This window comes from Homo sapiens, chromosome 10, assembly GCF_000001405.40.
Source record: "Homo sapiens chromosome 10, GRCh38.p14 Primary Assembly".
NCBI lineage: Eukaryota > Metazoa > Chordata > Mammalia > Primates > Hominidae > Homo > Homo sapiens.
Window position 1 is genome coordinate 100223344 of NC_000010.11, and position 21224 is coordinate 100244567.

Sequence of the window (21224 nt, forward strand, 5' to 3'; positions counted from 1 at the left end):
TCAAATCTGGCGTTCTAGGCTGGGTGTAGTTGTAACTGTAATCCCAACAATTTGGGAGGCTGAGGTGGGAGGATTGCTTGAGGCCAGGAGTTCGAGATCAGCATGGGTAACACAGTGAGACCTCATCTCTACAAAAAATTAAAAATTAGCCGGGTGTGGTGGCGCATGCCTATAGTCCCAGCTACTCCAGAGGCTGAGGTGGGAGGACTGCTTGAGCCCAGGAGTTCAAGTCAAGCCTGGGTAACATAGCAAGACCACATCTCTTTTAAAAAAAAAAAGAAAAAAAGAAAAAGAAGCAAACAGAATTTCCATGTACATGTAGGACCTGATAATTTATACTATTAAGCTTTCCTGGTGATTCTGCCACATAACCAAGTTTGAGAATCAAAATGGAATTAAGCACAGATATTAGAGTCAGAAAGTATTTATTTCAAATCCACACTTTACCAACCACCAGCTATGTGATTCTATAAGCTTCAACTTCCTCATTTGCAAAATAATACCTAAATATAAGATTGCTGTGATAACTGGAAGAATGATCTGTAAAGTACTTAGCACACTACCTGTGGAAGTTTTAAAATATGTCTACTTCTCTTTTTAAGAGCTTAACTCTCCTCCCCTTGAATGTAGGCTGTACTTAGTGACTCACTGTAACAAACAGAATGTGGTGGAAAAGGATGGAGTCTCACTTCCAAGTAAAGATCATAAAAGATACGTCGGTTTTCATCTTGCTCGCTCGTTCACTCTCTCTCTCTCTCTCTCTCTCTCAGATCACTCACTCTTTCTGAGGAAAAGATCTTTCTGGGGAAAGCTAGCTTCCATGTCATGAAAACATTCAAGCTTCCCCATGAAGAGGCCCACATGGCGAAGAACTGATGCTTTTGGCCAACATTCATATAAGTGAGCATGGAAGCAGATACTCCAGCCCCAGTCAAGCCTTTGGATTACTGCAGCTCCGACCAATATCCTGAGATGTCTCAGGAAAGACTCTAAGCTAGAATCACCCAGCTAAGCCACTCCCAAATTCCTAAGTCACAGAAACTATAAGATACTAAATGTTTGCTATTTTAAGCCACTAAATGTTGGGGTAATTTATTTTTTATTATTTATTTATTTATTTAGAGACGGAGTCGCCCAGGCTGGAGTGCAGTGGTATGATCTCAGCTTACCGCAACCTCCGCCTCCCGGGTTCAAGCAATTCTCCTCCCTCGGCCTCCCAAGTAGCTGGGATTACAGGCACCCGCCACCACACCTGGCTAATTTTTGTATTTTTAGTAGAGATGGGGTTTTGCCATGTTGACCGGGCTGGTCTCAAACTCCTGACCTCAGGTAATCCATCCGCCTTGGCCTCCCAAAGTGCTGGGATTATAGGTGTGAGCCACCACGCCCGGCCCTAGCTGACTTTTGTTAACTGAAATGAAATAGTTTTTTGATTGTGGTAAAACACACATAGCATAAAATTTACCACCTTAACCATTTTTAAGTGTACAGTTTAGTGGCATCAAGATGCTTTCCTTTTTTTTCAGACAGGGTCTTGCTCTTGTCACCCAGGCTGGAGTACAGTGGTATGATCTCAGCTCACTGTAGCCTTGACCTCCTGGGCTCAAGCAATCTTCCCACCTCAGCCTCCCAAGTAACTGGGACTACGGGCATGCACCACCACACATAGCTAGTTTTTATATTTTTTGTAGAGATGGGGTTTTGCCATGTTGCCCAGGCTGGTCTCGAACTCCTGAGCTCAAGCAATCCACCCACCTCAGCCTCTCAAAGTGTTGGAATTACAGTGTGAGCCAACATGCCCAGCCTGGCATCAAATACTTTCACAATGTTTTGCTACTATCACTATACTGCACAAAACTGTTTAATTCTGCAAAGCTGAAACTCCGCACCTATTAAAAATTATTCTCTATTTGCTGGTCCCTTCACCCTCTGGCAAACACCATTCTACTTTCTTTCACTGTGAGTTTGACTACTCTAGGTACCACACATAAGTGGAATGACACAGTATTTGTCTTTTTGTGACTGGCTTATTTCATTTAGCATAATGTCCACAAGATTCATCCATGCTGTGGCATGTGTCAGAGTTTCATTCCTTTTTAAGGCTGCATGATATTCCGTTTCATGAATATACCACATTTTGTTTATACATGTCTCTGCTGGTAGATACTGGGTTGCTTTTACCTTTCAGCTATTGTGAATAATAATGTTATGAATATGAGTGTACAAATTACTCTTTAAGTCCCTGCTTTCAATTCATTTTTGTATATACCCAGAAATGGAATTGCTGGATCATATGGTAATTCTATTTTTAATTTTTTAGGAATCACCGTACTGTTTTCCGTAACAGTTGCACAATTTTACATTCCCACCAACAGTGTGTAAGTGTCCTAGCTGATTTTAACTAAACCTTCTTAATCTTAATGTGATATTATTATTTGAAATAGAATATATTTAATGAGAGAAAAAAATATATGTTCCCAAAAAGATCCTGAGAAGAGTGGATTCCTGGCCTCTTTCCCCATGATGACATCTGGTTGGGCTGTAGAACCAGGGAAATGTAAGTCAAGGAATACACTTACTTCTTCATAATCTGGATTTCATGGCACCATCGTTCTCTGTTTTTGGTACTTAGCTCTAGGCGACAAGACTTAATTGCTATTTTGAGATCAAGTTCCTGCCAAAATAGAAAATCAACAGAAAAAAAAAATTAGGTTCTTGTGAAGATTTATTTGCTACCAAAGAAATAACTTAAGACAACAAAACTTTTTAGCTTTACTAATTAAATATATTTATCCACAGCTCTCTTGAGGCAATGCTTTTTAAAAAGATAAACCATGAGACTATTACACCAATGCTTTAAAACTGACCTTCAAACACACAACAGCATACAAGGGAAAAGTGCCTGAAACTGATTTTATAACAGGTCTTTTCAGAACTCTCTCTCATATATAATGTTAGAAAAAAAAAGATCCTGTCTCCTCAGCAAACCCCTTTCAGAGCTTAATCAAGACAACTAATATGTGCCCCAGCTTCTAGCATAACTAAAATGAAGAAGGTAATTCAGGGCTTCCTGGACTCCAAACAGCAAGAGAAAGTTTTAATATAACCAAGCCTAAAGCAAAAAACTCCAATCCTAATGTATGCATTTCAAATGACATGAAGAAAAAAAATCCTACCAATGAGTGTACTTCTGCTTCCATAGCTACATAATGAACCTAACATCTCTTGCCTGTGACTAGTAATTTAGCCAATTCTGACTGAAATTAAACCCATTCTGATGCATATTACAGGAAATAGCCAGACCCCATCATATTCTGGCAACATTAATAATGCAGCTCAGAAATAGCAGTCAGGGCTAAACAGGCTACACTATGTTTCTGATATCACAAGGAGAGTTCAAAAGAATTTCCAACATATGTAATCTCTGACACAAACCAGAGTTGTAATAAAGGCTGTGTATGAATACAGAGAGAAGAGCCCAGGGGCCAGGACAGAAAAAATATATTATAGGTGGGGAAGCAAGACATAGCTTGGATAGGGTAGTGTGAATTGGAGGGTGAGAGGAAAAAAGAAGCTAGAGATAAGATGATACCTGGTGCATAGAGAAGAAGGAAACTAGGATAGACTGCATGCTAGCCTACCCACAGTTCTCACTCCCTTCAATCTTCCTTTTGTTATGAGCAGGTGACCAGTTATATCTATGTCCCATGCAGGCCTTTACCACCATGGAAATGAGAATCAGGCACAACCATGAACAACACTGAGCCCTGAATGCTCATGTTAATGGAGCAATAAGTTATCTATTTCAAAAATCCCACTTTGTAAGATCCTTCAACTCCTTAATTTATATTTCATCAACTCTGTGAAATTCTACCTTTTCACAAAGAATATTCTATGGGAAGTTTATAGATGTACAACAACAACAAAAAAGTCGGAATATTCTGGAGATAGGGTTATGGCTGTACAACAACGTCAATGTACTTAATGCCACCTAACTGTACACTTAAAAATAAAGTGATAAATGTTGTGTTATGTATACTTTACCATAATAAAACAAAAAGTGATTAATTCATCCATCCCCACCCAGGGACCAAGAAAAGAAGTCACAAAAGCTGCCAGCATGCATCCTTTTTCCTTATGACCAGGCGGATAGGCAGGCTTAGGTAACACAGGCAACATGCCACTGGAAGCACTTGGCTCCCACTTTTTTTTTTTTTTAGTGTGTTATGTTCCCTCTGATGGTGAGAATTATTAAATTTACTACTTATCCTGCTATCACAGGACTTAATGCCTTAGTCCTTCACCTTCCATTCTCTTTCTCCAAGATTTTCTCCTATGCCCTATCTAGAAACCTGGTTCACAAAACTTCCTCAGTTCTAACAGTTTCAGTTGTCATTCTAATTACCCTAAATATGCCTATTTTCCCAAGGTAGACTCCTATCTCCCCTTTCTCCCACCCCAAATTACGAGCTTTCTCACTACACCCATGTTCCTTTAGATAACAAATTATTACTTTTCCTCTTGAATTAACTTCTCTATTCACAAGCCAAGCCCAGGCATTTTAGTAAGATCTTACCTGTTCATCTTGTCCCATATGTTGTTCCACTCAAATTTATCCTTTACAAAACCATTTTCCTAGAACAACACTTTTTATCTTGACATTTCCTTAAGGCCAATTAATGAGGAGCATTATGATCATAGCAGCAACAACAACAAAGTAGCAGCAGGTGCTAACAGTTGAGGGCTTTCATGGGTCAGGTACCGTATTTAGCTTTACACACATTACTATTTTATTTAACTCTCAAATCCATGATGCATGTAATTATTATACTATACTTACTTTACAGGCAACAAAACAAAGCCTATATTACAGGAATTATTAGTCCAGGGTCTATTTACCTAAAATGTCCTTTAGGAAGGCACGAACCTCTCAAATGGCAATGCATGGTTGTGTGAATGTGCATCTGTGCATTTTTCTGGGGAAAGGGTTCACAGCTTTTATCGGTATATCAAAAAATACATGTCCCAGGCCTGGTGCCGTGGCTCACGCCTATAATCTCTGCACTTTGGGAGCCTGAGACAGGTGGATCGCCTGAGGTCAGGAGTTCGAGACCAGCCTGGCCAACATGGTGAAACCCCGTCTCTACTAAAAATACAAAAAAATTAGCCAGGCACGGTGGCGGGCGCCTGTAATCCCAGCTACTCAGGAGGCTGTGGCAGGAGAATCGCTTGAACTCGGGAGGAGGAGGCTGCAGTGAGCCGAGATCGCGCCCTGCATTCCAGCCTGGGCGACAGAGTGAGACTCCGTCTCAAAAACAAAAACAAACAAACAAGACCCAAATATGATTTTTTAACTGCTACTACAATGGTTAAACATTCTCTATTAAATCAAAGTAAAATTCTTGAGTCTGATGTTAACTGTCCTCCACCTACTAGAGCGCCCCCCATCTCCATCTACTAATATAGCCTTTCGTTTGAAGCCATGCTCTGCACCAACTCACCCTCATACTGTCCCGACCTGGAATACATCCCCAATTCCAAAGCCCATCCATGCTTCCAAAGGCTTAACTCTGGACCCATCATGAAGCCTTCCTTGTCTACTCCAGTCCCCACTGATATCATATGGCCTCCAAGCGCGCGCGCGCGCGCGCACACACACACACACACACACACACACACACACGGACGCACACATTCCCAAAGGCAGTCCCCTTCAGCCCTCTTCTCACACATTCGTGCTCCTACATACACACTGTGACGTGCATCTGCCTCACACACCCTGACACTCCACATTCACAGAGACACACACGCACTGTCACACTCACTAAACACCTGGTCACAGCCTGACAGTCATACCCAAGTTCCCCGCAACAGCTCTATCTATGCCCAGTACCTCAAATACAACTTTGGACACACAGGCATAGTATCTTTCTCTCTAATACACACACACAAGCCCACTGGCCCCCAAATACTGCCCAAGGTCCCACCAACCATCTATCCCACACTGTCAGCCCTGTGTTCCACAGACGCTCAAACCCACCGCCGCTCCAACCCACCGCCGCTCCCTCTCACGCCCCGCCTCACCCGATGCTGGTACAGACAGACGTTCCCGAAGCCGCCGGTGCCCAGCCGCTCCCGCATCTCCCAGGGCCCGCCCGCGCCCGGCCGCAGCCCCGGGGGCCGCTCCATGGGGCGGGAGGGCAAGCGGCCTCAGGTTCCACAGTTGTTCCAAGGCCGGTTCCGGGCCGCCGATGCTCGCGCGTCTTTGTTCTCGCGAGAATGAATGCGTCACTTCCGGTAACCGCTGCGAGAAGGCCCTTCCCTAAGTTCTCCCAGGGCGCTGCCAGAGCCCTGCCGGCTAAGGGATGGGGAAACAAACAGGTACTCGGTCCGCTCTTTAAGTCCCCTACGTATTTTCCGGGAGGGCTGAACGGAACCACAATGTTTTTCTAGTCTTGGAAAACATAAGATCTCTCCAAACCCCACATTCCCGTCAAATCCACTTTTCAAAGCAGCCCAGTCTCTCCTGTATTTTTTTCTTTTTAATTAAGATGGGGTCTCGCTCCGTTGCCCAGGCTGGAGTGCAATGGCACGATCACGGCTCACTGCAGCCTCGACCTCCCGGAATTAAGCGATCTTCTCACCTCCCGAGTAGCTGGGATTGCAGGCGCGCACCACCTCGCTTGGCTAATTTTTTATTTTTTGTAGAGACATGGTCTTGCTACGTTGCCCAGGCTGGTCCCGAACTCCTGGTCTCAAGTAGTCCTCCCACCTTGGCATCCCAGAGTGCTGGGATTATAGACATGAGCCACCGCGTCCAGCAATTAGTCTTTTCTAAACTTCATATTGTCTCTACTCCTATCTACACTTCACCTTTCTTCAGATCCCTGCCATCTATCCTCCAACTCCACCACCAGCTGATCCGGCACGCTAAAGACCACCAATGATTTAAAGGCTGCGAAATCGTTAAAATACTACGCTAGCAGGCCCACTAATGAATTAGCCTTCTTGTTCACTGACTTCCCAATACACCTGCTCCAGGATATCCCCTGTCATCCCAAATGACTCAAGAATGTGACGCTATTCCGGAGTGAAGAGTGTTTCTCGGGATTTCGCGAGCTTTTTTCCTAGATGCCTCACAGAGCTTGCTGTCCGGCAGTCCAGTTATGGGTTTGCCAGCACAGTAGTTCATTGTGAGAAGTGTTTCTAATGGGTGCTACAGGGCTGCAGAGGCAAGCTTTGGGAATGCTGTTGGTGCAGCAAGTGCTTCCGGGTGGCGGATTGCCATAGCATAGGGGAAACAACTCCTGGTCTTCCATTTAAGAGGGTCATACCTTCACTGTACCTGGGGGATCTCAATACTCCAAGTAAAGGAATCAGCATGGAATCAAATTATTGATAAATGTGATGCTGCAACCAGAATGTTGAGCACTGCATGATACAGACGAAGTCGATGTTGTAGGTCATTAGTAACATGTGGTATGGGAGGTTCTGGTTTCTGTAAGTGCATGGTTTCCATGGACTTGGAGATGATGATGCCTCTGAGGACATGTCATTTAGAGCTGGGCAGACCGCACAGAGAATTGTGGTACAGATTGTTGTAACAGTATGAAGCCCTCTCATTTGCTGTATGTACAGCATGGCCAGTGCTAATGTGCTCAATTTCCGTAGGTGGGGCTGTAATCTCGTAATTCCCAGTCAAAAGAGGTAGGAAGGGATGCTGAGGACCCAGGGATACTGATGATTGGGCTGACCCAGAAGTGGCCATCTTTGTGGAAACCAGGTTGGTTCCCTTGGTTAACTTTTTAAATGCCCCCATTCCCAGGGCCATGAGTAATTTGAGTTGTTTTTTGTTGTTGTTGTTGTTATTGTTTGAGATGGAGTTTCACTCTTGTCACCCAGGCTGGAGTGCAATGGTGTGATCTCAGCTCACTGCAACCTCCACCTCCAGGGTTCAAGCAATTCTACTGCCTCAGCCTCCCGAGTAGCTGGCATTACAGGCGCATGCAACCACGCCCAGCTAATTTTTTGCATTTTTAGTAGAGACGGGGTTTCACCGTGTTGGCTAGGCTGGTCTCAAACTCCTGATCTCAGGTCATCTGCCTGCCTCAGCCTCCCAAAGTGCTGCAATCACAGGCATGAGCCACCTGGCCTGTTTTTTAAAAAGCCTAAGCCTGTTGACCCCAGGCTCCACAATCTTCAATTTTCCGAGTCTCAGTTTTTTTTTCATGAGTAAAATAGAGGTAATACCTACCTCACAGAGATTTTGTGAAGATTAAATGAAACAGTGTCTGGACCATAAGTGCCCAATATAAAGGTAAAAATATTTTTCTTTTTGCGCCTAATATGTAGCATTCTCTTTGCTCCTTCTCTATGTAAATGTTAGATCACTATTTTCAAGCACTCCTTAAATACTGATATTTCTCAGGTAATCATCTTCAGCTCAGGACTGTATTTACCCTATCTTAATTTCACCTATGGCCTATACCCTGATGATCCCCAAAGCCCTGTAACCAACCCAGGTACTGATGAGTTTAGAACTGCCCAGCAGCACAACAGACACATATTAGATATATCAAGCACCTAAAACAATATCCAAAGGAGAATTATCTTTTTTTTCTTAAATCTGTCCCTTCTATTCCCCATTAAACTGTAATCTCTGGGACAACAGGGACCATATTGGGACATGACTATGGTCCTGGAGCTTAGAAAAATGCCTGGCACATAGGAGTTAAATATCCGAAGGACTAAATGGGCTCTTATCTATGAATAAGATGAATGCTTAAGAGAAAAATAGCAAAAGCCTTGGATCCCTTTTCCACTTTGGGTTGTTCAGGGAGAAACTGCCCTGTGTGATTTTGGAGTAACAGCTGGGCCTAAAGCTCTAGCCCCTGCTATTACACATACTACTTCATTTCAACGGTCACAGGCAACATGAACACAAGACACTTCTCAACCATGGAAAAACATCTGGATTTCATTTGGTAGTTTAAAGGTTTTTGAAAATGTTGATATACACAAGCTGTACTTGGAGCTGGATAACAGACATAGGAGCTGGATGACAGACATACTTTTATTCTTTTATTTTTGAGATGGAGTTTCACTGTCACCCAGGCTGGAGTGCAATGGAGCGATCTTGGCTCACTGCAACCTCCACCTCCCAGGCTCAAGCAATTCTCCTGCCTCAGCCTCCTGAGTAGCTGGGATTACAAGTGCCTGGCACCACGCCCAGCTAATTTTTGTAGCTTTAGTAAAGACGGGGTTTCACCATGTTGGCCAGGCTGGTCTCAAACTCCTCACCTCAGGTGATCCACCTGCCTCGGCTTCCCAAAGTACTGGGATTACAGGCGTGAGCCACTGCGCCCGGCCTTAACATAGGATTTTCATCCTAGAATGACTTTTCCCCAAAAAGATTCAATCTTAGGCCTCTTGCTGTAGGCAAGTTCCATGGGACTGCACAAAAGAGGCAGGGAAACAGTCCCCATGGGAGATTGTAGTTTCTTTAAAAATAGGCTTCTAGGCCAGGAATGGTGTCTCATGCTTGTAATCCCAGCAGGTTAAGAAGCCAAGGCAGAGGATCCCTTGAGCCTAGGCATTACAGACCAGCCTGGGCAACACAGGGAGACCCTCCTGTCTCTATAAAAAATCAAAAAAGTTTGCCAGGCATGGTAGCATGCGCCTGTGGTCCCAGCTACTCATGAGGCTGAGGTGGGAGGAACTCTAGAGCCCAGGAGGTTGAGGCTACAGTGAGCCACAGTTATGCCACTGCAATCCTGCTTGGGTGACAGAGCGAGACTTTGTCTCAAAAAAAATTCTTTTAATTAAAAAAAAAAAAAAGCTTTACTACTTCCTGTGGAGTTCATAAAAAGTTCTTCCCTTTGTTTTAGTCATCCAGAGTAAAGTCATAGGGCTCAAAGTCTTTCCGGAAGCGGCGAGCCAGGGTCTCCTCGTCTTCCTTGCTGATCTGACACTGCCTCCAGTCAGACTTATCAGGAACATTAAGGATGGCTTCACTGGCCAGGACCTCCCTGCAGAAATAGCACAAAGAAGTCAAAATGGAAACTATCAGCCTGAGCTCTCCTCAACATCACCCAAAGGAGGTATGCAAATTTCTCTGACTTTGCTCTCCTGCCCTGAGTGCCATCTCTGCCATACTATTGATCAAAATCATACCCGTTTTAAATGACCAGCTCAGGTACTATATATTTCCTGATCCTTCAAACCCCACTTGCTTCTCCCTCTCTTAAAAAACTTGGAACTATATTATTGGTACTTAGAGAAGCAACACCACATAGAAAAAGGGCAGGCCCTGGTGTGAGAAAGATCAGAGACTGGATCCCATTTCCAGCTTTGCCACTTGCTATCTATGATCTAGACAGATGATTTCATCTCTGAGTCTTGATTTCCTCACCTATGAAATGCAAATAAGAACACCCACCATACAGGGTTTTTGTGAGGTACAGAGATAACACAGTCAAAGTGCCATATTAGCTGTGATTACAACCTGCCTTAAACTGTAGTTTTGTCACCTCAACTAGACATGAGTTTGCAGAGTCAGGAGCCTAGTCATACCCACTCTGATTTAAAATTCCTCTGCCTCTCCTTCTAGGGGACTCAGGCCCACGTAACAGCAGCACAAGCCCAATGTCAACAAAACAACTATCTTGGCTCTTAGGACTAAAGAATAACTACATACAGACACACTCACACACAAGCTGCCTTCTAATCGCCATTGCTTTATATTTTTATTTTTACTTATTTTGATATATTAGAAATAATTCTATTACACATTTATATGGTTCATTTTCCACTTTGAAGTTACAGTAAATAGAAGAGTTAGAAACAAATCATGAATTCTCTATAAGTCAAAGAACCTAAGCTCCCTGGGCAAACTTTGAGCCTATTTCAAATATAAAAGGAAAATAGAACTACCTTTCTTGTACAGCTGAAAAAAATATGCCATTTCAAATATTTTGTTAACTATAAAATGCTATATAACTATAAATTAGTATCTTGATAATTACTCAATATTGAAAATACATCATAAGCACAAAACCATTCAGAGAATCTTCTTTTTGTGTGCTTTATACGCCTATGTGTATCTGCAATCGTGTGCTTATGTTGTCAATGTTCATAACCGCATCTGTTGCTGAGGCAACAACGAAAACATCACGTCAGATGTCTGAATCTCGTAGCACACTTGTTCCCATTTATCTTTTTGAAAAATGTAGACAACTACATTTACTGGACTTATCTAAGGGGGCAATCTCTTGGAGGCTTTCTGAATTAGTCCAAGACAGGTTCAAGGCTCACTCAAAGCCCATTTTTAACTAGGGGAGAAAAAACAGCTGCAAATCACAGACACCAGCATCAGATACTCTGTTCTACACATTTTCCACTCCCCTTCAAACTGTATCTTCTTGCCAGCAACTTCCCATCTTCAATCTTTGCTTAAGTTATGTTACTCCCTCTATGGTTTTGCAGTCATGTTTTGCCTGATACGAGGAACAGAACTGAAGCCTCCTCTAGGCCTTTACCATACTGTAGAACACTGAGGTTAAGACCTCAAGTTTTGAGGTCCAACAGGCCTGGGTTTGAACCTACCACTGTGTGACTAGGACAAGCTACCTAAGCTCTCTACAGCCTGCTATCCAGTGGGGTAACCATTAGCCAGGTATGGCTATTTAAATTTAAATTCTAATTAATTAAATAAAATCAAAAATTTAGTTCCTCAGTCACATTAGCCACATTTCAGCACTCAGTGGCCACAAGTGGCTAGTCACAACTGTATTGGACAGTGCAGATATTTGAGCATTTCCATCGTTGTGAAAAGTCTACCGGGCACTGCTCTAGAGCCTCATTTTCCACACTGGTAAATCGGGATGACAGTACCTACCTTACAGAGTTATGAAGATTAAATGAGTCATGTATGTGTAAAGTTCTTGGTACAGTTCTTGGCACAGAGTATGTGCTCAATTAAAGTTCCCTAGCACTTCTGGCTAGAATGCCCTCACCTCAATCTTTGCCCTCTAAATATGCCTCTCAGGTTCAACTTTGCCACTTTCATGAAGGCTTTCACCAACTAGAAATGAGCTGTCCCTTTTCTGAATTTCTACAGCACATTGTTCTCCAAAACTCTGTCATGGTACTCTTCACATTCTACATTACATTACTGTCATATATGTAAACATCTGCCCTAAGACCATGGGTCCTCTGGGGCAAGGACTGTTTACAATTTAGCTTTTTATCAATTGTCCCATGTAGCCCACCACTCTGTTCATAGCAGGTCTAGTGAAAATACATTGAAAAGAAGAAAAACATACCTTCCAAACTGCAAAGGAAAATTCTTTTTAATTCTGTGGAAAAGCTTTTCTCCTGTGTCAAGTTCAACATAAAAATATGCTGCTCCTGGCTGTGCAATCTAAAGTAAACAGAGTTGTATGAGGATGTCCAATAATGCTTTAAAAATCTATAATCTGAGTTCATCTCTAGGCAAATAATTCAGTCTAAATGCACAAGAAAAAAAGATATGTATGTTGCTATAGATCCCAAGCCACTTAGTGGAACTAGGGCTTAAAAAGTCTAACTGGAAGATACTAACAATATCCTCCCAGTGGCGTCTATCCTTCTAAGTTCCTACCTTAGGAAATTCTAATTTCTTGCTCTTCCCAGGAAAGCACTAAACTTTGGAGTAATGCCCTGTTCATCTCCAGTCTAGTCAATACCCAGTGCTCTAGTTCCAAATTGTCCACTGCCTCTTTTTTTTTTTTTTTTTTTTAGAGACAGGGTCTTGCGATGTTGCCCAGGCTGAAGTACAGTGGTGCAATCATACCTCACTGCATCCTCAAACTCCTAGGCTTAAGTGATCCTCCTGACTCTCAGCCTCCTGAGTAGCTAAGACTACAGGCACATGCCACCATGCCAAGCTTATTTTTTTATTTTTTGTAGAGACAAGGTGTCTCACTTTGTTGCCCAGGCTGGTATCAAACTCCTGGCTTCAAGTGCTCCTCCCGCCTCAGCCTCCCAAAGTGTTGGATTACAGGTGTGAGCTACCATGCCCAACCCATTGCCTATTTAATAACATTTTTGGAATGCCTTGATAGCTCAACATGTCAAAAACCTTAGGCTCAACATGTCAAAAACCAGATCTTGCCAGGCGTGGGTGGCTCATGCCTGTAATACCTTCGGGAGGCCAAGGCAGGCAGATCACAAGGTCAGGAGTTCGAGACCAGCCTGGCCAATATGGTGAAACCCCGTCTCGACTAAAAATACAAAAAGTAGCCAGGTATGGTGGCGCATGCCTGTAGTCCCAGCTACTGGGGAGGCTGAGGCAGGAGAATCACTTGAACCCGGAAGGCGGAGGTTGCAGTGAGCCAAGATCATGCCACTGCACTCCAACCTAGGCAACAGAGCAAGACTCTGTCTCAAACAAACAAACAAACAACAAACAACAACAAAAAAAACAGATATTTACTCTTCCCTGAATATCACCATCCCCTGTTTCACCTGCTTGATGTCAGAGTGCTCTGGGATTTCCAACAGCTCTATCTGCTGCTCCTGTGCCTGGGTAATGAAGGCATCTTTAATGTCATCAGTAGTAGAGCAGCTGATTGGGACAGGAATGACCTGGGGGTTGGGGAGACAGGAGAAATTCCTTGTGCAGGTCCCAGAGAAGTTGTGCCTGCACAGTCTCTGAGAAGTAGCAAATCCATCACAGGGGTGGAGAAACACCCCTCAGCACAGAATATCCTCAGGCCAGACAAGCCTGTGTCAGCCTGTCTGTAAGGACTTAAACTTATGAGATAGCCTGACACATGTGGGAGCCATTCTCTGATGCAGGAAAGGCTTAAGAGAGATATCTCCGTCACAAGCCTTTGCCATCTCCGATATTATATATGTGGCAGAGTTAGGCCCATTTGAAAACTTAACAAATGTGCCAAAAAGAAAACCACCACAACTACAAATGATTTACAATCTGATTTTCTGAGCTGCTAGCCCCATGCAGGCTTTGAGACTATTTCCTACCACTAAGCTTTCCCTCATGCTGGGCCTCCACACAAAATACTCACTTTCTTCCAAATTCTTATCCAGCAAGCCCCACATCTTCCTTGGAACTTCCTCAACTACCCATTCCTTTTCTAAACAAGGAACTTACTATCTATGCTGTTTACATGTACTGACCACACACTTCCCTGTGAAGTCTCTGGGGTTACCACCAGATACTCTTTAAAAACTTTTTAAATGAATGTTATTTAAATATTAATATAAAAATATTAAATATTTTACATATTAAAGCTAAACTTTATATAATTTTTTTTTTAAAGATGGAGTCTCGCTCTGTTGCCCAGGCTGGAGTGCAGTGGCACAATCTCGGCTCACTGCAACCTCTGCCTCCCAGGTTCAAGCTATTCTCCTGTCTCAGCCTCCCGAGTAGCTGGGATTACAGGCATGCACCACCACGCCCAGCTAATTTTTTTGTACTTTTAGTAGAGACAGGGTTTCACCGTGTTGCCCAGGCTGGTCTTGAACTCCTGAGCTCAGGCAATCCAACCGCTTCGGCCTCCCAAAGTGCTAGGATTACAGGCGTGAGCCACCTCGCCCAGCCTATTTAAATACTTATTTACCAATATCAAAGTCCCCATAGCGCCCTTCCAAGTTTCTATGAACAGACCACCTACCTGTAGCTGGAGGTGATGGCTCTTATAATTTCTCTCAAATACAACACACCATTTCCCTCGACTCTTAAAGAACCGTCTCAGAGTGGCCTTATACTTCTCCACCTCTTCTACCACCTCTGCTGAAAGCTCCACCACTGACTGGTAGTGTCCAATAGGCAGGATGAGGACATGGTCATCAGATAAGCCTCCTTTGGCCAGGGCAAGGTAGCACTGAAGAAGCAGCACACAGAATTGAGACATCAATACAGCATGTAGGATTCTCCAGGGAGAAAAACCTATACAAAAAGTGAGCCTGAGGGTGTAGGCGAAAAGTACTTGAGGTTATTAATAAAAATTCTTTCTTGAAAAAATCTGATTTTAGAGATTGTAGCAACAATGTTCTCAGGTATCCGCTGAAGAGTGAGATTCGGCATGAAAATTTCTATGCAAGTAGCAAATGAACTAGGAGCAAATGAATTGGGAGAGGCACACAAGCAGGCTTTTGGCTTCAAACACACTGAGCTGAGGGAGACCAGAACAAATCGCTGGGTTTTCCCTCCCATGCTCCAAACTTGAAAACAGTTTTTCAGTTTTTATCACCCTCAACCACAAAAAGATACAACTTCTGATTTCAAAATGACCACTTTCGGCTGGGATAGTGGCTCACGCTTGTAATCCCAAAACTTTGAGAGGCCGAGGCAGGTGGACCGCCTGAGGTCAGAAGTTCCAGACTAGGCTGACCAATATGGTGAAACCTCATTTCTACTAAAAATACAAAAATTAGCCAGGCCTGTGATGGCATGTGCCTGTAGTCCCAGCTACTCGGGAGGCTGAGACAGGAGAATTGCTTGAACCCGGGAGGCAGAGGTTGCAGTGAGCCGAGATCGCGCCACTACACTCCAGCCTGGGTGACAGAGCGAGACTCCGTCTCCAAAAAAAAAAAAAAAAAAAAAATGACCCCTTTCTGCCTCCCCAGTAACTTTCATTCCCACCCCCACCCCCGAATATACTCCTTGGGCTCACAAAAAAAGCTAAGATGGCATGATTAGCATCTAATGTTCCTAAGCCTTAAGCTGCTGACTAAATTCTACAAAACAAAAGCAAACATACAACCTAATGGGGTAGAAGGAAAGTAAAACCTCAAACTCAGATGCATCCAAAGAGGCAGAAAAGAATGATTTCCAACAATGGATGTCAGCCTTTAATGGCAACTAAAAATATTTCTGTAAAAACCAAAACATGCAAGAATGGTCTACCACTCAGATATTCTCTGATGGGAAGATGCCATGAGTGAGCACAGAAGGGCCCAATGAGTACCAGTACAGGCAAATATAGATACGTTAGAAAACAATTATCCAGACCGGGTGCGTTGGCTCATGACTGTAATCCCAGCACTTTGGGAGGCCAAGGCAAATGGATCGCGAGGTCAGGAGTTCAAGACCAGCCTGGCCAACAAGGTGAAACCCCGTCTCTACTAAAAATACAAAAATTAGCTGGGCATGGTGGCACGTGCCTATAATCCCAGCTACTTGGGAGACTGAAGCAGGTGAATTGCTTGAACCTGGAAGGCGGAGGTTACAGTGAGCCGAGATCGTGCCACTGCACTCCAGCCTGGGCGACAGAACAAGACTGTCTCAGGAAAAAAAATAAAAAATTATTCCAACTATGCTCTTAGTGTGGTGGGCTCAAAGTTAAGGCTGAAGGAAGGAATCACTTCTCATCTATAATAAGAAAGTCCAACAGAATGACAGGATATGTATTGGAAAGATACTAAAGCATGATTGTCCTTGATTTGTTTGGCAGAGAGGACTGAGCATATTGACAAAGTTAATTTTCCAGATGACTAAAGTTGATGAAAACCTCACAGGCACTAAAAACTTTTTTTTATTTGTATAATAACCACTTTATATTGTATTTGTTTAAAAGGTTACTCTAGAAGCCTGAGTCGTCTAGCTATTTTTGTCAGAAGGTCACTGCCATAAACATCAGCTTCTCTATTATGATGTGCATTCTTTAGGTAATGATGTCTAAACTAAAGAGCTCCTCTGCACCATCTCTAATCCTGTACTTGCAATTTTTGTGAATAGTTTCACGCTTGCCTAATCTCCTCTCTCTTTCAAACTCTCACCTTCTAATCTGTTCTATACTAGAATTATCTCTAACCATGTGTAAATAGGACCTGGATAAATGGTTCTCCCCGTAAGTAAAATGCATTGATTTTGCAATAATTATTTTACACTCTCAGCAGCCCTTCCCCCTTTTTACTAATCTGTGGCTATGGACCATCAGCACAATTCTATGTACTACCTTTGAGGAAGGCACGACAAAGAGAAAGCCAGGGAAAAAATTTAAAAAACAAAAAAAGGCAATCAAAAAGAATAATTGCAGGGAGGAGATCCCAAACTCTTCCACAGACACCCAAAGGTCATTACAGGTTTGTAAGAGGTTTCTACCTAAGGACAGTGTAGACTCTAGGCTGAAATACTCATGTGGCCTACTTGGGATGTTGGGTTGGGCCACAAACAAGACCTTTTTCCCCTCTAGTTTCAGGCCTAGATGAGAAGAAAACAGGTTTCCTTGATTGTTGCCCAGGCCCACACCCTGAGTTAGAGTAACCTGGACAATAGAAAGATGAATGGAAAAGAAAAGTCACTTCTCACTGAGGCCTAGAGCAGCACTGAGCTATGTCACACATTCCAAATCTCTTATCTCCTGCGTGTGATCTTGAACCTATTGAAGCTTCCCAAACAGAAGGCAATTCAAAGCCTAACTTACTATACAAATTGTGTGGGAGAGAAAAATAGCATAAACTAATCCAAAGACGAAAAAAGATGCAAAAGAGATCATCCAAAAAGGGCACTGCTATAAAAGCTAGAGCTTCTCAAGTTTGCTCTTATTCCACTGAAGACTTCATCCACAGGTTCTATGGCTCAGTTGTGTCACCGGCCTTGACTTCATTAGTGCTCCCCCTAGAGACAGGAGTGTGCCACTAATTAAGCCTTTTTTTTTTTTTTTTTTTTTTTTTTTTGTGACAGAGTCTTGCTCTGTCCCCCAGGCTGGAGTGCAGTGGCGCGATCTTGGCCTGCAACCTCCACCTCCCAGGTTCAAGCAATTCTCTGCCTCAGCCTCCTGAGTAGCTGGGATTGCAGGCGCCCGCCACCACGCCCAGCTAATTTTTGTATTTTCAGTAGAGACAGGGTTTCACCTTCTTGGCCAGGCTGGTCTTGAACTCCTGACCTCGTGATCCACCTGCCTCAGCTTCCCAAAGTGCTGGGATTACAGCCGTGAGCAGGCGTGAGCCACTGCACCCGGCCAAGACATTTTTTAAAATGTAAAAGACTGAGACTCTTCAGGTGGAAACAACACAGGCAGAAGTGTAACTCCTTAAAGTGTAAGATGAAATTGAGACTCTAGTCAGTCTACAGGAAGGAAGACACAAAAAACGGTCCTCAGATTGTTAGGATAAGTTGAAAGGATCAACCCCAGAAACCAAAAGTAGAACAAATCAATGAGAAATGGATGAAGGCACCTGTCTTCAGAAGCACTACACACTTAAGGAATTGTCTTAGTCCATCTTGTGTTGCTATAATAGAATACCACAGACTATAATTTATTTGAATAGAAATCTATTTGGCTTGTGGTTCTGTAGACTGGGAAGTCGAAGTGCATAGCACTGGCACCTGGCAATGGCCTTCGTGCTGCATCATCCCATGGCAGAAGGGCAAGTGAGGGTGAGAGTAAAGAAGCAAAAGGGGACCTGAACTCACTTTAACAAAGCCACTCTCATGATAACCCACTACTGTGATAACATTAATCCATTCATGAAGGCAGAGTCCTTATGACCAAATCACCTCTTATTAGGCCCCACCTCCCAAAACTGTCACAAAACAAAAATGACTTATAAATATTTTCCTCAGGAATCTTGGGGAACATCCAATTCTAGTCACTGGTGACTATAGTGTTAAAAATTAAGTTTTCTTCATTCTAAATGAATGAAAAAGAACAATGGTCTACAGAAAACCCAGGGAAATCAGAGTCAAACACTGGTATTATTTAATGTCTAATCCAGCCCTACCCAAGCAAAAGTATCTGGGGAAATGTGAAATAGAATGACTTTCCCATGAGACACACACATTCAAGCTTTCCACCACCTGAATAAAATCATACTCAAGACCATCCCGTTCTCATAGTCTGATTCAATGCTTACCAAACAACCATATCATCATCATCTTGGGTTCCTAGATACTCACACCAGGAGTGTGAATATGGGTATTCCTGTCATTAGTAAGCTACACCCTCCACTACTAAGCAAAACTGAAATTTTATCTTTGATGTGATCAGTTAGTGTGAATCAGCTTCCAGCATTACATAATTCCAGATAAAAATTCATAGGCCGGGGGTGGTGGCTCACGCCTGTAATCCCAGCACTTTGGGAGGCTGAGGCGGGCAGATCACCTGAGGTCGGGAGTTTGAGACCAGCCTGGCCAGCAGGGTGAAACCCTGTCTCTACTAAAAATATAAAAATTAGCCAGATGTGATGGCAGGTGCCTGTAATCCCAGCTACTTGGGAAGCTTAGGCAGGAGAATCACTTGAACCCGGGAGGCAGAGGTTGCAGTGAACTGAGATCACGCCATTGCACTCCAACCTGGGCAACAGAGCGAGACTCCATCTCAAAAAAAAAAAAAAAAAAATTTCATAAGGCTCTAGTTTCTGAATCTGAAGCTATAAAAAGAATATCAACATTTTTAACCCAATACAGGTATATAAGCAACAGAAGACTGCCTTTTTAGGACAAAGAAAATCACTTTAAATGGTAATTAGCAAAAGGAACTCATCACTCTCAATTAGACGGGCTAAAAAATACAGAGAGTCCAAGAAGTATATAAAAGCATCACCCCTAGAGAACCATACCTATTTATGAGAGAGGAAAAGAGAGCTATCTTGTAAAACTGGCTATTGCTATAACAAATGTTGACAGGGATGTGGAAAAGCAGAAACCTTCATACACTGCTGGTGGGAATATAAGATGGTGCAGTCATTTTGGAAAACAGTTTAGCAGTTTCTTAAAAGTTAAACATAAATTTACTATATAACCTAGCAAATCCATTCCTAGGTCTATCCAAAATATAGACCATTCCTAGGTCTATATCCACACAAAGACTTGCATGCAGATATTTTATGGGAGCATTATTTCTAATAGCCATAAAGTAGAAACAACCCAAACGTCCATCAGCTGATGAACAGATATAGACGAAATGTGGTACATCTATACACTGGAATATGATTTGGCAATAAAAAGGAATGAAATACTGATACATGCTGCAACATGGATGAACCTCAAGAATATTATGCTAAGTAAAAGAAGCTAGACACAAAAGACCACATGTTGTATGATTCCATTTATAAGAAATGTCCAAAAATGGCAAACTATGGAGATAGTAAGTAGACTAGTTGCTGCCTGAGGCTAAAGTTGGGAACAGGGATTAACTGTAAATGGGCATAAGAGATCTTACTGCAATGATAAAAATGTTCTAAAACTATACCACGTGATGGTGGCATAACTCAGTAACCTTACGAAAATCACCGAATCATACACTTAAACATGGGTAAATGTTATATGTAGATTATGCCTCAATAAAGTTAATAAAAAACAAATAGGCATCTCCTTCTCTATAAAGTCCAAGGAAGTAACTCACATGTGTGCCGATGTTGACCACCAAATGTTTTTCCACTTCAGGGCTAGCAAGGCAAAACCAGCAGGGTCCTGGAGGCTGAGCTTCATGTAAAAGAAAGCCAGGTGTTACTATGGTCCAAGCACTACAGCATATAATCACCCCACAGAACTCAGCTTTGTCTGATTTTTATATCCTGAAAAGACTGGTATACAACACTGCCACAATGGGCTGAGCCTGTGCTCCTCACTACGACCCCCTATGAACATTTTCAATGAAATTAAACTTCCATTAGAATTTGTAACCAATCCACAGGTAGGTAACCCACAAGTGCAAAATCACACACTGACTAAAGTAGCACATAACTGGCAATAGGCTACAACAAAAGAACACTGAACTGGGTGTCAGGAGCCCCAATTAAAGCCCCAGCTATGCCATTAGCCATGACCCTGGAAAATTTACCCTCCCAAGGTCAGCTTCTTGTGTGAAACAAAAAGATGAAGAAAGAGAATCTCAATGAAACACTCTTAAAGTCCTTCCTTCGAGTTTGATCATTCTATTATTTTATGAACCCATATTGGTTTTGGAGGCTCTTCACCTCATTATGTTTTACAGACACAAAGGAAAGGTGCTTTTTCCATAGTACAGGAAGCGCCTCAGAACAGCCTCGAAGTCAGGCCATTCTTATTTTATTTTTTTTGAGACGGAGTCTCGCTCTGTCGCCTAGGGTGGAGTACAGTGGCGCGATCTCGGCTCACTGCAAGCTCCGCCTCCCAGGTTCATGCCATTCTCCTGCCTCAGCCTCCTAAGTAGCTGGGACTACGGGCGTCTGCCACCACGCCTGGTTAATTTTTTCTATTTTTAGTACAGACGGGGTTTCACCGTGTTAGCCAG

The 21224-nt window shown here is 42.9% G+C and overlaps 2 protein-coding genes, 1 long non-coding RNA gene and 1 other non-coding gene across 25 annotated transcripts in view, besides 3 other annotated features; 1 reads left to right on the forward strand and 3 right to left on the reverse strand.

The window, feature by feature from the left end:
• CHUK (component of inhibitor of nuclear factor kappa B kinase complex) overlaps positions 1-6253 on the reverse strand; it is a 43278-nt gene extending 37025 nt beyond the window's left edge. For 16 of the 17 annotated variants that reach the window (NR_199797.1, NR_199800.1, NR_199799.1 and 13 more), the window contains exons 1-2: positions 6085-6253; positions 2580-2674 (exon numbers count right to left, since the gene is read on the reverse strand). Coding sequence is in view for 7 of the 17 variants with exons in the window: in XM_047424542.1 (XP_047280498.1) it covers positions 2580-2674; positions 6085-6189 (200 nt within the window). In the remaining 10 variants the exon portion in view is untranslated. The remainder of the gene's footprint in view (positions 1-2579; positions 2675-6084) is intronic. The other variant, NM_001441065.1, reaches the window with a different exon arrangement.
• Positions 5991-6230: a silencer, noted in NCBI's record as "silent region_2704". NCBI's record gives its function as "represses an Ori minimal core promoter by ATAC-STARR-seq in GM12878 lymphoblastoid cells {active_cell/tissue: GM12878}" and the evidence as "EXISTENCE:reporter gene assay evidence [ECO:0000049][PMID:35858748]".
• On the forward strand, positions 6317-11734 carry CHUK-DT (CHUK divergent transcript). Of its 2 annotated transcripts, NR_186418.1 has the most exons (5): positions 6317-6381; positions 7672-7783; positions 7903-8317; positions 9888-10100; positions 10610-11734. It is a non-coding gene; the product is annotated as a CHUK divergent transcript (long non-coding RNA). The 2 variants fall into 2 exon arrangements; NR_186419.1 differs by lacking the exon at positions 7903-8317.
• Positions 6341-6390: an enhancer, noted in NCBI's record as "active region_3884". NCBI's record gives its function as "activates an Ori minimal core promoter by ATAC-STARR-seq in GM12878 lymphoblastoid cells {active_cell/tissue: GM12878}" and the evidence as "EXISTENCE:reporter gene assay evidence [ECO:0000049][PMID:35858748]".
• Positions 7300-7562: a silencer, noted in NCBI's record as "fragment chr10:101990400-101990662 (GRCh37/hg19 assembly coordinates)". NCBI's record gives its function as "represses an EF-1alpha promoter that drives an FKBP-Casp9 reporter gene in an ReSE screen in HepG2 liver carcinoma cells {active_cell/tissue: HepG2}" and the evidence as "EXISTENCE:reporter gene assay evidence [ECO:0000049][PMID:32094911]".
• CWF19L1 (CWF19 like cell cycle control factor 1) overlaps positions 8955-21224 on the reverse strand; it is a 35341-nt gene continuing 23071 nt past the window's right edge. For 4 of the 5 annotated variants that reach the window (NM_001303406.2, NM_001303407.2, NM_018294.6 and 1 more), the window contains 5 exons: positions 20355-20434; positions 14679-14888; positions 13507-13626; positions 12324-12421; positions 8955-10028 (listed from right to left, as the gene is read on the reverse strand). In NM_001303406.2, coding sequence (NP_001290335.1) covers positions 9884-10028; positions 12324-12421; positions 13507-13626; positions 14679-14888; positions 20355-20434 — 653 coding nt within the window. In that variant the 3' untranslated portion in view covers positions 8955-9883. The remainder of the gene's footprint in view (positions 10029-12323; positions 12422-13506; positions 13627-14678; positions 14889-20354; positions 20435-21224) is intronic. The other variant, NM_001303404.2, reaches the window with a different exon arrangement.
• SNORA12 (small nucleolar RNA, H/ACA box 12) lies at positions 13813-13959 on the reverse strand. The gene has a single exon (NR_002954.1). It is a non-coding gene; the product is annotated as a small nucleolar RNA, H/ACA box 12 (small nucleolar RNA).